We start from the raw sequence: 14652 nt of genomic DNA, 5'->3' as shown, positions 1-14652 counted from the left end.
GCCACCATGCCTGGGCCAGGTACCTTTTTTTAAAAAATTAAGAGACAGAGTCTTGCTTTATAGCCCAGGCCAGATTGCAGTGGTGCAATCATAGCTTACTGTTGCCTCAAATTCCTGGGCTCAAGGGATCCTTCTGCCTCAGCCTCCTGAGTAGCTGGGTGTACAGATGTGCGCCACCATGCCTGGCTAATTTTGTAATTTTTTGCAGAGATGGGGTCTTGTCATTGTGCCCAGACTGGTCTTGAACTCCTGGGCTCAAGCAATCCTCAGCCTCCCAAAGTGTTGGAATTATAGGCATGAGCCACTGTGTCTGACCCATTCTTAGGTACTCTTATCTAAAAGATCATCACATATATCTACAGATCAATTTGAGGTTACCAATTGTTAGGATAACAATTTAAGACATTTAGTTCATGCCAGACTTAGAATAATCTGAATAAAGCTACAGGGTGTGGTAGATATCTTTCATCTTATAAAATTACAACAGCACAATCCAAATGCAAAAAAGTCATTGATTCTATGACTTTTAAGACAAAACCCAAAGCCATGAATAATCAGTGAGCTATATATATTAAACTTCCTGATTACATGTTAAAAGTATTTACTTTTAAGTATATTTTCTTAAGTATTTCAAATATTTACTGACTTTACAAAAACACACCTACATAAACTTTTTCAACTACAGAGCTTTTCTAGCTTTCTAAAATTTCAAGTTAGATCTTCTCAGGGGCATTTTGTGTGTGTGTGTTTCTAACAATGGTCCTTTTCGTCATTCAATAACCAACTCCCCCAAATAGAATTATCTGTTTCATAAATATAATGAATATATAAAAAACAGTATTATAACAAGCTTGTAATATGCTGACTGCTCATCAAAAAACAGACCCTTTTAATTTAGATCCATAGCATCAGTAAAACTAAAGAATTTAAGGGTGCTACAAAACTTCCAAGAATTTTTAATAGAAAAATAACAGCACCCTTGGAAGCGAGTACCTAATTCCCATGTTGCACATATTCATTAGAATAGAAAATTTAATTTTTGTCATAAAAATGACATTTTATAGTGAATTGGCTGACCAATTACCCAATTATAATTACAATATATCAAGCTTCTTTAAATGAAAATATTAGTGATACATGACTTACCAAATATTCTTCTGTGCCATACAGAGAAACAAACTGCTCATCATCTTCTAATTCTCTAGCTGCACCAAAATCTGTGAGTTTGTACACAGACTGTCCATCTTCCCCTATAACACGCATGATATTTCCTGGCTTGATATCACGGTGCACTATACCATTCTCTCGTAGATGATTCATTCCACCCACTTCAACAATATAAAACAAAAGAAGTCATAATGTAGATATTTACGTGTATGTGTGCATGTCTCAAATTCATTGATATAGTCACCCAAACTTAATATAAATTTTTCCATAATTTGGTTCAAAGTAATTTTACTCAAAGAATAGATAATAAATATATATATATAAAAGATGTTATGTTTTAGTTATAAGAAGTTTTAGAATGATAAAAATTAATGTGGTCTAAGGAAAAATCCAGTGTCTCTTAAGTACTACCAGGAAAATGTAACAAAACAGTCTTAAGCATATGATTTCTTGAATTACTTTGGTTATATATATGTGGGTGATCTGTTTAAACATAAAAATAATAAAGATTCCCAAAAAAGATATCAATCTTTCACCAGAGTTTTACATTTCTTTATCTTGGGAAAAAAAATTCCCTAAAAGTAAACTGAACTCAATATGTAAAACAGCAAAAAAGAAACAGAAAAACAGCAAAGTGTCAAACTTGTTTCTGTAAAAATGTATTCTCATATGCTTGGCACTATTCCAAAAAGCCCATTTTTTCTTCTTTTTTCTTAAGGGCAAAGTTGTCTACTTTGCTGAAATTAAGCTATTTTGTCTAACTGACAGTGTCACTGAGTGATAACTTTATACATTTGCTTGAGGGCTGATAGATGAATGTTCAAATTCAAAATATGTAAAAGGTTTAGGGGTATCAATGTATAATTATTAAAACTCAGGACTACCAATACACTTAGGAAGACATCATATCTATAATTTCTATTTGATTAAACAGGCTGTAGCATACTAGTAATATTGTTTCTCTCTCATTGTATCCTCACCTAAATAATCACTCTGCTTCCAGTGACAAGTTCAAGAATTCCCACCAACCTTTTACCTTATCACTTGACTTTTTCCCATTCCTCAAATATTTGATTCATTTCTCTTAAGATGTTATTTCCTTTGATTGCAGTATTTTTTTTAAAAAATAGGTTCACTGAGATATAATTCAAACATAACATTCATCTTTTTAAAGTGTACAATTCAGTCATTTTTAGTATGGTCACAGAGTTATACAACCATCACCACTGATTTCAGAATACTTTTGTCACACCAAAAAGACAACTCATACCCAACTCCATCTTCTCCTGATCCCCCAGAAACCACTAATCTGTTTTCTGTCTCTATGGATTTGCCTATTCTTGACATTTCATATAAATGGAATCATATAATATTGCAGCCTTTGTGTCTGGCTTCTTTCACTTAGCATAATGTTTTCAAGTTCATCCATGTTGTAGCATATATAACTACTTCATATCTTTTTGTAAACAAACAATATTCCATTGTATAGACACACCACATTTTTGTTTATCTGTTCATCAGTTGATGGACATTTGGGCTGTTTTCATCTTTTTTTTTTTTTGCTATTATGAATAATGCTGCTAAGTACACTGGAGTACAAGTTTTTATATGGATATGTTAATTCTTTGGGGTATATACGTAGCAGTGGAACTGCTGGGTCATTTGGTCAAAAGTTAAATAATTCTATATTTAACTTTTTGAGGAACTCTAGACTGTTTTCTAGAATGGCTGTATCATTTTATAATCCTACCAGCAATGTATCAGGGTTCCAATTCTCCATATTCTTGCCAACACTTGTTTTTTTTTTTTTTTTTTTTTTGAGATAGTCTTGCTTTGTTGCCCAGGCTGAAGTGCAGTGGCACAATCAAGGCTCACAGCAGCCTCAATCTCCTGGGCTCAAGTGATCCTCCCACCACAGCCTCCTGAGTAGCTGTCTACAAGTGCATGCCACCATGCTTGGCTATTTTTTATTTTATTTTTTGTAGAGACAGGGGCTCACTGTGTTGCTCAGGCTGATCTTGAACTCCTGGACTCAAGCAATCTGCCGGCCTCCACTTCCTAAAGTGCTGGGATTACAGGCGTGAGCCACCATGGTTGGCCCTGTTTGTCTTTTTGATATTAGTCATTTTCATTGGTATAAAGTGGTATTTCATTGTGGTTTTGATGAGCATTTCCCTAATAACCAATGATGTCGGTTATTAATTAATTAATGTTGAGCTTTTTTTTATGTACTTGTTAGCCACTTGTGTATCTTCTTTGGAGAAATGTCTATGCGAATCCTTTGCCCATTTTTAAATTGGGTTATTTGGCTTTTTATTGTTGAGTTGTCTGGATAAAAATCCCTTGTCAGGTGTATGATTTACAAACATTTTTTTCTCATTCTATGGGCTGTCTTTTCACTTACCTGATGTCCTCTGAGGCCCAAAAATGTTTAATGCTGATGAAATCCAATTTATGTATTTCTGGTATTTGTGCTTTTGGTGTCATATCTAATGAAGCATTGCATAAAGGTCTTCAGTTTTGAATGGAAGATATTTTTTAAAAATTCTGTTATTAAATTTTATATACAAATGATATCATATAAATAAACAAACATACCCACATCTCGCAAAACAATTAAGAATTCAGATTCTGGTAGTCCATAGGCATTAGAAGGTTCTTCTAAAACAGTGTATAAACTCCCACATGGACAAAATTCCATAATAAGTACTTTATGTCTTGTTGTTGTCTGAAAAAAAAAATCATTGATTGGGAATCAACATAAAAAATAAATTTTGATTATATGCCAGTACTTATCTGATTTCATTTAAATGTAGGATTTGCTACAATGATGAAGGCACTTTGCTTCACCTGAGATTCAGTATCTGTTGAACATACACATATAAGAATTAATATCTTCCGGCCGGGTGTGGTGGCTCACGCCTGTAATCCCAGCACTTTGGGAGGCTGAGGTGGGCGGATCACGAGGTCAAGAGATTGAGACTATCCTGGCCAACATGCTGAAACCCGGTCTCTACTAAAAATACAAAAATTAGCTGAGTGTGGTGGCACATGCCTCTAGTCCCAGCTACTCAGGAGACTGAGGCAGGAGAATCACTTGAACCTGGGAGGCGGAAGTTGCAGTGAGCCGAGATTGCACTACTGCAGTCCAGCCTGGTGACAGAGCGAGACTCCATCTCAAAAAAAAAAAACAAAAAAAAAAAACTAACATTTTCCAAATTCCTATTAGGTGAAGAAGTTGGATTTGTTTTTGAAGACAAACCACAGTAAAAAGTAGCTAAATCTGAACTACAAAATCATTGGTACAATGTTACAATGGTTTTGTTAAAATCATCTTAAATTCCTTTCTTTTTTTTTTTTTTTGAGACAGAGTCTTGCTCTGTCACCCAGACTGGAGTGCAATGGTACGATCTTGGCTCACTGCAACCTCCACCTCCAAGGTTCAAGTGATTCTCCTGCCTCAGCTCCCAAGTAGCTGGGATTACGGGCATGCTCCACCATGCCTGGCTAATTTTTCTATTATTTTGTAGAGACGGGGTCTCACTATGTTGCCCAGGCTAGTCTCGAATTTCTGGGCTCAAGCAATCTGCCTGCCTCAACCTCCCAAAGTGCTGGGATTGCAAGCATGAGCTACCACACCCAGTCACTTGAATTTCTTTCTTTCCTTCTTTTTTTTTTTTTTGAGACAAAGTCTCGCTTTGTCACCCAGGCTGGAGCGCAGTGGCGCGATCTCGGCTCACTGGAAGCTCTGCCTCCCAGGGTTCACGCCACTCTCCATTCTCCTGCCTCAGCCTCCTGAATAGATGGGACTACAGACGAGTGCCACCACACCCGGCTAATTTTTTTGTATTTTTAGTAGAGACGGGGTTTCACCATGTTAGCCAGGATGGTCTCGATCTCCTGACCTCGTGATCCGCCCACCTCGGCCTCCCAAAGTGCTGGGATTACAGGCGTGAGTCACCACACCAGTGCTGAATTTCTTATGTATAACAGTACATTTAGGACAACAGCTCTTCTAACCTCTTAAAATGAAATTTTTCTTATGATGACTACTGTTACTTCAAGGAATGGAGTCCTATCCTTAAAAATAAATGGGTAGCAGAACAGCTGAGTGGTCCCTCTTGCAGCAAAGCTCCAGTCTGCTCATTTGCATCTGAGATGCTGATTTGTTTTAAACCTTAATTTTAATGTACCATTGATTATAATGCTTCATCAATTTAATAACAGCATTACGGGGAAAAAGAAATACCATCAAATTATATATACACAATGATTATAAGATGCATGACAATTTCAGAATCTGAAAATCTGAATGAGTCTTAAAATCTACTATTCATCTCCAACTTTTTATCCTTTGTTTCTTTTCTAATTTTTTTCTACATATCTCCAAAACACTTTTATAAAATATTTTAAATTACTCTCTGGCAGTCATTTCAAAAAAGAGAGAGAAATAATCATAGTAGAAAAAAAAAACTGTTGCTTTTAAATGATAATGTATGTTGATTGTTGAAAATTTGGGAAGTATACATAATTCCATTACCTGGAGATAATGAATTAATATTTTGGCGTATTTTCTTTCAGTCTTTTTTCTATGGATGAAATAATGTCATAGATACATAATGCTGTTTGCATATTACACTGTATATGTTAAGATCATACTACATATATATTTTTAATCCTGATTCTTCTCACATAACATCATATATAAGGTGTTCCAAGAAGATTAAAATTTTGGTAAATATCTCTTTTCATTACCACTTAACTATTGTGTGGTAAAAAATTAACTTTACCCAAAGAGAAGTCAGGCTTTGCCCTTGGCTACTGGACAGTGATCTCTGGCCCCTAAAATGTCCTATCTGAAAGAACAAGACTTCTGTCTTTGTTCCTCTGGGGGCTTTGGCCACTGGAGAGTCTCACAGCATGATTTAGGATGGGGGCTTAATGGAGACTAAAGGAATTACCCCAAACTTCTGGAAGGAGCTGGGGACTAAAGGTCAGCAATACAGGCAATAAATGATCCAGCCTCAGTAAAAACCCTGGACACCAAAGGCTTGGGTGAGCTTCCCTGACTGGCAATACTTCATGCATACTGTCATACATCAATGCTGAGAGAGTAATGTGTCCCTCAGGACAAAGAAGCTTCAAGATTGGAACCCTCCCACATTCCACGCTTTGTGTCTCTTCCTCTGGCTGGTTCTAATTTCTATCTTTTTGCTACAATAAAACTGTAATTATAAGTATAGCACTCTCCTCAGTTTTGTGAGTCATTTCTACATTCCAGCAAATTACCAAACCTGAGTGTCATGGGCAACCCCCACATTTGTAGCCGGCTGGGATGATGTGAGGGTAATCTTGTGGGAACTGTTCTCTCTGTGCAGTTTGCCAAACTCCTTTGCAATTGGTATCAAAAGTCTTGAGCAGACTTGGCAGTGTGGAAGGCTATGCTCTTAATCTTGAGTTTGGCTAATTCCAGGTAACTATCTGCCACACATTCTAATTTATTCAACTTATTTAACCATTCTTTATTATAAACAGGATGCCAATTAACATCTTCATGCATAAAATTATATTTCTGATTACTTCCTAAGAAATAATCACTAAAAATAAAATCACTCGGATAAAGAGTATAAACTACATTTTTTCCCAAAGATTTTATTGATTGCTCATGTTTAAAGGGATTAAAATAATTTCTATTTCCATTATTTCTAGATTACTTTTCCTAATGACATTCTTAATTCCACTATTTCCCCTTAAAAAAATCAATTCTTTTATAATTGGACTTCATATCTTAAACTGTAGGACTCTTGAAATTTTTATTCATGAAATACAAAATTTTTATTTTTTTAAAGTTCGATTTTTTCTTTTTATAATTATTTTTTCTCTTTATAATTATTAGATTTAACTTGTTACCTTTCTTTTTCTAGTAATAATACTGGTAACCATATTCAATACCCTTTTATTTCCTTCTTTCTTTTTTTTTTTGAGACAGGGTCTCACTCCATCACCCATGCTAGAGTACAGTGGCACAATATGGTTCACCATAGCCTTGACCTCTCAGGCTCAGGTGATCCTCCCACTTCAGCCTCCTGAGTAGCTGGAACTACAGGCGTACACCTCCATGCATGGCAAATTTTTGTATTTTTTACAGAGACAGGGTTTTGCCATGTTGCCCAGGCTGTTCTTGAATTCCTGAGCTCAAATGATCCTTTCTTTTTTTTTTTTTTTTTTTGAGATGGAGTCTCCCTCTGTTGCCAGGCTGGAGTGCAGTGGTGCGATCTCAGCTCACTGTGACCTCTGCCTCCTGGGTTCAAGCAATTCTCCTGTCTCAGCCTCCCAAGTAGCTGGAACTACAGGTGCGCACCACCATGCCAAGCTAATTTTTGTATTTTTAGTAGAGACGGGGTTTCACCACATTGGCCAGGCTGGTCTCAATCTCTTGACCGCATGATCTACCTGCCTCGGTCTCCCAAAGTGCTGGGATTATAGGTGTGAGCCACTGCACCCAGCCGCAGCCGGCCGCCCCCTTTTATTTCTTACACTACTGTTTCTGATTCCATTTTTATGATATTTTATTTCTATTGTTCTATATATTCAAGAATCCTTTAGGATAAAGTATTTGGTTGTACAAACCCTAATTTTCAACAGTTTTTTAAAAAATCCATTTTTTAATATTAGGTTCTATTTCTTGACTCGTAACTACAATAAATATAAGATTGAAGTTTTACTACTTACCTCCTCTTCAATAGCAAATAATTTGACAATATTTTTGTGATTGAGTTTTTTCAACACTTCAAATTCTCTCATTTGAACATCCACTGGACGAAGGAAGCTTATGTTATTAAATACTTTGATAGCAAATAAATCACCAGTTTTCTTTAAAAAAGAGAGAGAAATGTTTTATTTATTCATAATATTGTAAAAGAGATTAAAAGGTAGCATTAGAACTCGCTATTGCAACTTATTTTCTTACAGAACATCATGCATCTTTTAGGCACAGGGAATCTGTATGAGGACTTTTGACTTTTCTAAAAAGTTAAAATGAATCAATTAACTGCTCAACATTTCTTTCAAATTACACCTTTTGGAATTCAGAAATGGATATTTTCTTTCATATTATAAATAAACCTTTCATGAGGATACAGTAGGGGCAAAAATAGTCACACATCAGAAGATAAAAGCCATAATAGTATCAAAAGCAAAATCATCTTTTAAAGACGAAATAGAAAGTGAAACTCATAAGGGCTTCTCCAAGGCCTAATAATTTTAAACTAATCAAAGCAGGAGAGAGAGACTGAACACTATATTCCACCTATGAGATTTTTATTAAGAATATCAAAGTAATACAGTTAACTTTTCAGAATTATTTTGTAGCTAGGACAACGTGGGGGAGGGGAGTGGGGAAAGCAGGAGTTGCAGAGCGAGGCTAAAGTAGACTTCCTGGTTGGTTTCTGCCCCTGCTGCCCTGGGTTACTTTCTGCAATTCTACCTAGATGACCAGGGCAGGCTGTTCCTTCACAGACCCTCTCTAGAGGAGTAAAGGCATTTATTTCTTCTTCTCTACTGATGTACCACAGCATCCCACTCTCACTCTTTCATGACCTACATCACACACAAAATTACAAAGCACAGCTGTAGTTGGGAGGGAATCTTAGAGGTTCAAAACACATGCTTACATTTCAGGCAAACATCATATTTATATGTTCTTCTTATTAACCTTCCTTTAAGATTGTCTTTCAGACCCTCTCACTTCCTTCCAATCACTCTAATGAGCAAGCCTCTCCCTCGTGGCCAGTCCAGATCTTGAGTTTAGCCTTACATTTTCCCCCATTTATCCAAGGTTGAACTTCCCTAGAGCAAGCAGGAAAATCCTTTTCTCTTTGAGCTTGGGGTTCAAGCACATTTCATGGCTAAAGACATTTCATGGCTCTCTGTCAGGACCTCTGTACTGTTCCTGCTTTGGAGCCCTCTTTATACTTTCCTCAGATTCACCACTTAGAGCCATCACCCTCCTCTCTCACTCCAGAATCGCATGATCCTTTTCTTAAGGCCATTTAACTGCTTCATAATCCTATGTGATTCCCCTCACCCTGGTCATGCAAAATACACAAATTGATATATATTCTTTCTAGAGGAAGATGAAAGATCAAAGAGCCAATGACCATTTTCACACATATGAAAAGAGAAGAATTTAAGTACAGTTCAGTTTCACTGTTTTTCCCTCAGTTCAGCAAGGGTTAAGACACTGCCAAATCTATGCATCACCCAACAGAGTGATTTTTCTTAAGCTGAGACAGGCCTCAAACTCAGTCTAAAACTAGGAGAATCCTAACAGAGGAGCAAGCAGGGAAAATAATACAATTTTGCAATATACCCACTGACCTCATGGTCATTATTTTCCAAACTTGTGTAGACTACATCATGCCTGTGAGATTATCGGGATCCAGGTGGAAACGTACTATTTTCCCTTTATTCACCTACACAGTCATCTATTATTCACTAAGTCAAAGTGTATACAAATAATAGAGATCCATATATATATATATATATATGTATATATCCATATGTGCAGATCAACACATCCTTCAAGTCTCTTCCCTTAAACTTCACCATGGTAATCACACACATATACACACACCCACACTCATACTTTAGTAACTAAAAGCAATTTAATAAAAAACAGATTAAGTAGGTAATATACTTTGAATAACAAGTAATAAATGTAAGAATTTGGTCATTCTAAGAAATAATATAAAAGGGCTAATATCATGGTAAAAATCCTTTAAATAGTTAAAGGGAAGCAGGATTTTTTGTAGGATATAGTCCTAAACAGTTGCAACTGCCATCATTAAGAACAAATATGGTTTCTCAAAGCACATCCCTAGGAAAACTGTTGGGGACTAAATACTAGACTGGGCCTTGGCAATCTTTTTCGTGTGTGTATGTGTGTGTGTGTGTGTGTGTGTGTGTGTGTGTGTTTAGTAGAGACAGGGTTTTGCCATGTTGCCCAGGCTGGTCTCAAAACTCCTGGGCACAAGCAACCTACCTGCCTTGGCCTCCGAAAGTGCTGGGATTACAGGCGTGAGCCACCATGCTCGACTTCACAATCTTTTAATTAATTCTTATACTTCTGAAATTCTCATTTTAGATTTCCACACTATAATGGGTAAAGTACATATTTGTTTCCTTTGGAGAACTTTAGGTTGTCTTGGGGTAGTCTAATCAGTCCTCATTCATTCACTTATTCTTTCATTCAGCAAACATTTACAGAGTGCATACTATGTGTAGTCACTTACATGAAGAACACTGAGTATCTAAGTAAGGAAAGAGGAGCAGGATATGTGACGTATCTTCTAGTGCCAGGCCCTTTCAATATGTCTCATCCAGTCTCTATCACTATTGACTATCTCTCATCCCATCAGCTTCCACTTTACTTCCTTTCTAATCAATCTTGCTACTAAACTCGAAACTGTGTCCAGTTAATGTGCAGTATAGCTAACCGCACATTAGCTATAGTAATATTCACTAGGTCTGCCATAGTGCCTGACACATACCAAGTGATTATTAAAAGTTTGTTAATTTGGACTACAGGAAGATAAGATGATCAGACGTGTTCTCAATGCTAAATTCTGAGGCACTAGTCATTTTCTCCTTGGCATAAAACAAAAGCAATTTCTAGGACGGAGTACCCAGGATTGATCGCAAGTAATCTGAATAAGAATCCAGAGCTTGTGGATAATTCTAGATACAGGGGGAGGAAAGCTAAAAGTTGTCTGTATGGTACTTCTGATTCATTCTCTATGAGCCATAAAGGGTGTTTATAGTCAATATTCTCTCCCCAGAGGAAACAGCCCCTCCCCCATGTACGCTTATCTCATCGTCACTGACAGAACTGACTGGTAGTCTCAAGAATACAGGAAAAGAGGAAGCAATTCCTCTCTACTAAAACGTTTAGGGCCCTGTTTCTGAAAATAAGGATTTAGGAAGCTCCAAACATCATTTAGCTCGAAACAAATTCATAGCACTGAAAAATTAGTTATTATTTGTATTATAAATGAACTTTGTACTCCATTTTTCCAGCTTCTTTCTCAGACTCCATTTCTCCAGCTTTTTCCCAGAATAGAAAGTTTAATTATCTTCAATTTCTTAATTTTAAATTATTTTAACTATTTTAAATTTCATCCTCCACATTGAATCTAAACAAAATCCTTTTTTTTTTTTTTTTAATTGAGTCTTGCTCTGTCACCCAGGCTGGAGTGCAGTGGTGCTATCTTGGCTCACTGCAGCCTCCGCCTCCTGGGTTCACACCATTCTCCTGCCTCAGCCTCCCGAGTAGCTGGGACTACAGGCGCCCGCCACCACGCCTGGCTAATTTTTTTTGTATTTTTAGTAGAGACGGGGTTTCACCGTGTTAGCCAGGATGGTCTCGATCTCCTGACCTCGTGATCCGCCTGCCTCGGCCTCCCAAAGTGCTGGGATTACAGGCGTGAGCCACCGCGCCCGGCCCCTTTTTGGTTCTTGAAGTGCCTCTGGGAATAATCTTTTTATTTTATTCCCACTTCCACTACCAGGTTCTGATTACCTTATACCAAAATATGGTCTTTTCAACCTGGGCTCCTTGTTGAGAATCTCATTTTACTCCAATCTACTTTGTAGGATGCTGTTTTAGTAGGGGCACTTACCCTTACCAGAGCCTATCAGAAACACCTGTGAGTTCCCCTCCCAATACACATCTGCCTCCCTACCAACCAAAATGCCACATCAAATGCTACCTCAACTCATTACACTGAACTTCTGTCAGTGAAATCACTCTACCATTAGGGAGCTGGGCTGGGGAAAGCATCAAAAGGCACAACACTAATCTTTCCCAGTCCATTTTCAACCAATCTGTTTTCCTCCACTCACTAACACTTAACCTGTGCCACCACTGGGTAGATATGTTCACTGCCTGACACAGCTATGCCTTAAATGACCACGAAAATCATTAAAACAATTTCTTCAGACAAAGGGATCAAAATCACCAAGTCACACACTTTAGTGTCAACATGCATCTTAGAACAAAATACATACAGTGATAAAAGGTCTTCAAAGTTTTCTCTGTACTAACCTTATGTCTTCCACGAAAGACATTTGCAGTAGCTCCTTGGCCTAAAATATCAGATAAAAGCCACAGATGATTAGAAGTGCTCTGCATCTTGGCTGGATCAGGCAATCCTCTTGTTATACTAAGAGAAAAAAAAAATTTGCAACTATGTTTTAAGGGAGTAACACAGCTAAGAAACAAATGTTAGCTGTTTTTAGTCTCAAGTAAGATCACCCATTATCTGTTACTGACATGAAGTGTATAAACAGTTCAATATAAATATCTTAAGTTTCAAAGTATTTTCAAGTCATAAGTTGCTAACTGATATGGTATGAACAAGTCAAAATATGAACCATTATGATTCAAGTTAGATTTTCCTCTGGAGAGACGGATCTGAATGTTCAGTTCTAGCCAATGTAGATTTTTACTTTCAACTTTTTAATCAATATCACTTTCTGTGCTTAACTCTTTGGTGTTACCTTGTCTGTTTTCATTCGTCTAAAATTCTGCAGGGATGACTAAAATTTGACATAATGGTATAAATGGATTATTAAGAGTAACTTTAAGTTGAAGATTAAAGCAAGATGCCATTTTCCCCATGACCTTCATTTTGTTTACATTTTTTCCCTGTAAGTTAGTATACACTATACATACTATAATAAAATACAATAATATGACAAAAAAAATCTAAGTTTCAGCTGGGAGCAGTGGCTCATGCCTGTAATCTCAGCACTTTTGGAGGCCGAGGCAGGCAGATCACCTGAAGCCAGGAGTTTGAGACCACCTTGGCTAACACGGCAAAACCCCGTCTCCACAAAAAATACAAAAATTAGCCAGGTATGGTGGCAGGTGCCTGTATCCCAGCTACTCGGGAGGCTGCAACAGGAGAATAACTTCAACCCGGAAGCAGAGGCTGCAGTGAGCTGAAATCGTGCCACCCTATTCCAGCCTGGGTGACAGAGCAAGACTCCATCGCAAAAAAAAAAAAAAGAAAAAAAAAAAATTGGCCGGGCGCGGTGGCTCACGCCTGTAATCCCAGCACTTTGGGAGGCCGAGGCGGGCGGATCACGAGGTCAGGAGATTGAGACCATCCTGGATAACATGGTGAAACCCCGTCTCTACTAAAAATACAAAAAAATTAGCCGGGCATGGTGGCGGGCGCCTGTAGACCCAGCTACTCGGGAGGCTGACGCAGGAGAATGGCGGGAACCCGGGAGGCGGAGCTTGCAGTGAGCCGAGATCGCGCCACTGCACTCCAGGCTGGGTGACACAGCGAGACTCCGTCTCAAAAAAAAAAAAAAAAAAAAAAGATCTGAGTTTCTAGCAATATTCAAGGCTAAAATGCTGTATGAGCTTTGAAAAAAAAAACATTAACCAATGACATACATTCAATTTAATTCACTTAACACAGGGCTGAAAGAAACATCTATTTCTCAGCCGGGTGCAGTGGCCCATGCCTGTAATCCCAGCACTCTGGGAGGCCGAGGCGGGCGGATCACAAGGTCAGGAGTTCGAGACCAGCCTGGCCAATATGGAGAAACCCCGCCTCTACTAAAAATACAAAAAAATTAGCCAGGCGTGGTGGCGCATGCCTGTAATCCCAGCTACTCGGGAGGCTGAGGCAGAAGAATTGCTTGAAACCAGGAGGCAGAGGTTGCAGTGAGCTGAGATCGCACCACTGCACTCCAGCCAGGGTGACAGAGCGAGACTCCATCTCAAAAAGAAACAAAAACAAACAAAAACAACACCTATTTCTCTTCTAATTTTGTCTTTGTTGATGAGAGTGATATTGTTACTTACCTCCTTCAAATGTTTTGAAAGATTAATTTATGACATAATTTAAGGTGTTTTAAAATAAAGAAAAGTAATAATGTAAAATATAACAAATATAGGAAAAATTACTTTGTTTCCTTCAGAGCAGAGAAACACTAATGAAGACAAATGTTGTCACTGCATAATATTCCCATAAGCTAAAATTTTATCTACACAATCTACACAGAACCTGACAAACATAAAGGAAAGGTGCAAAAATTATTATTCCTGAAAAGTTACGAACTCTTCTGGAATTAATTTAAGGATAGTTTCTCCAACCTCCAAGTATAAATATATAAACGTACCAAGTAGCCTGTATTATCAAGTCTTTAATACTGAAAAGCTATGGATCTATCAAGGTATACAAAGTATCCAAGCTCCACACTGGACTAAAATTGATGTATGCTAACATAACATAAACACTAGTCCCACCATGCCCCCTTAAACCTGCTGTATTGTCATTAAAACATGGATTTTAATATCCCTCCACAGTAAGTTAAAGCAAAAAGTAGTATGCTAGACTAGGTATTCTGTGATGAATTAATGACCACCAATATCCCCAAGCTGGGTTAGGAAAATGCAGAATGGTCAGG

The 14652-nt window shown here is 37.6% G+C and overlaps 1 protein-coding gene across 4 annotated transcripts in view, besides 1 other annotated feature; it reads right to left on the bottom strand.

Annotated features, from left to right (window-relative positions):
* The window catches only part of TBK1 (TANK binding kinase 1), a 49995-nt gene that overhangs the window by 33886 nt on the left and 1457 nt on the right, over positions 1-14652 (bottom strand). For all 4 annotated transcript variants that reach the window (XR_007063071.1, XM_005268810.2, XM_005268809.2 and 1 more), the window contains exons 2-5: positions 12272-12389; positions 7900-8040; positions 3766-3895; positions 1147-1328 (exon numbers count right to left, since the gene is read on the bottom strand). Coding sequence is in view for 3 of the 4 variants with exons in the window: in XM_005268810.2 (XP_005268867.1) it covers positions 1147-1328; positions 3766-3895; positions 7900-8040; positions 12272-12358 (540 nt within the window). In the remaining variant the exon portion in view is untranslated. The remainder of the gene's footprint in view (positions 1-1146; positions 1329-3765; positions 3896-7899; positions 8041-12271; positions 12390-14652) is intronic.
* Positions 8686-8735: an enhancer, noted in NCBI's record as "active region_6593". NCBI's record gives its function as "activates an Ori minimal core promoter by ATAC-STARR-seq in GM12878 lymphoblastoid cells {active_cell/tissue: GM12878}" and the evidence as "EXISTENCE:reporter gene assay evidence [ECO:0000049][PMID:35858748]".

This window comes from Homo sapiens, chromosome 12 (assembly GCF_000001405.40).
Source record: "Homo sapiens chromosome 12, GRCh38.p14 Primary Assembly".
NCBI classification, from domain to species: Eukaryota; Metazoa; Chordata; class Mammalia; order Primates; family Hominidae; genus Homo; species Homo sapiens.
The sequence above is the reverse complement of the archived record's forward strand: the minus strand, read 5'-3'. Positions and strand labels throughout refer to the sequence as shown.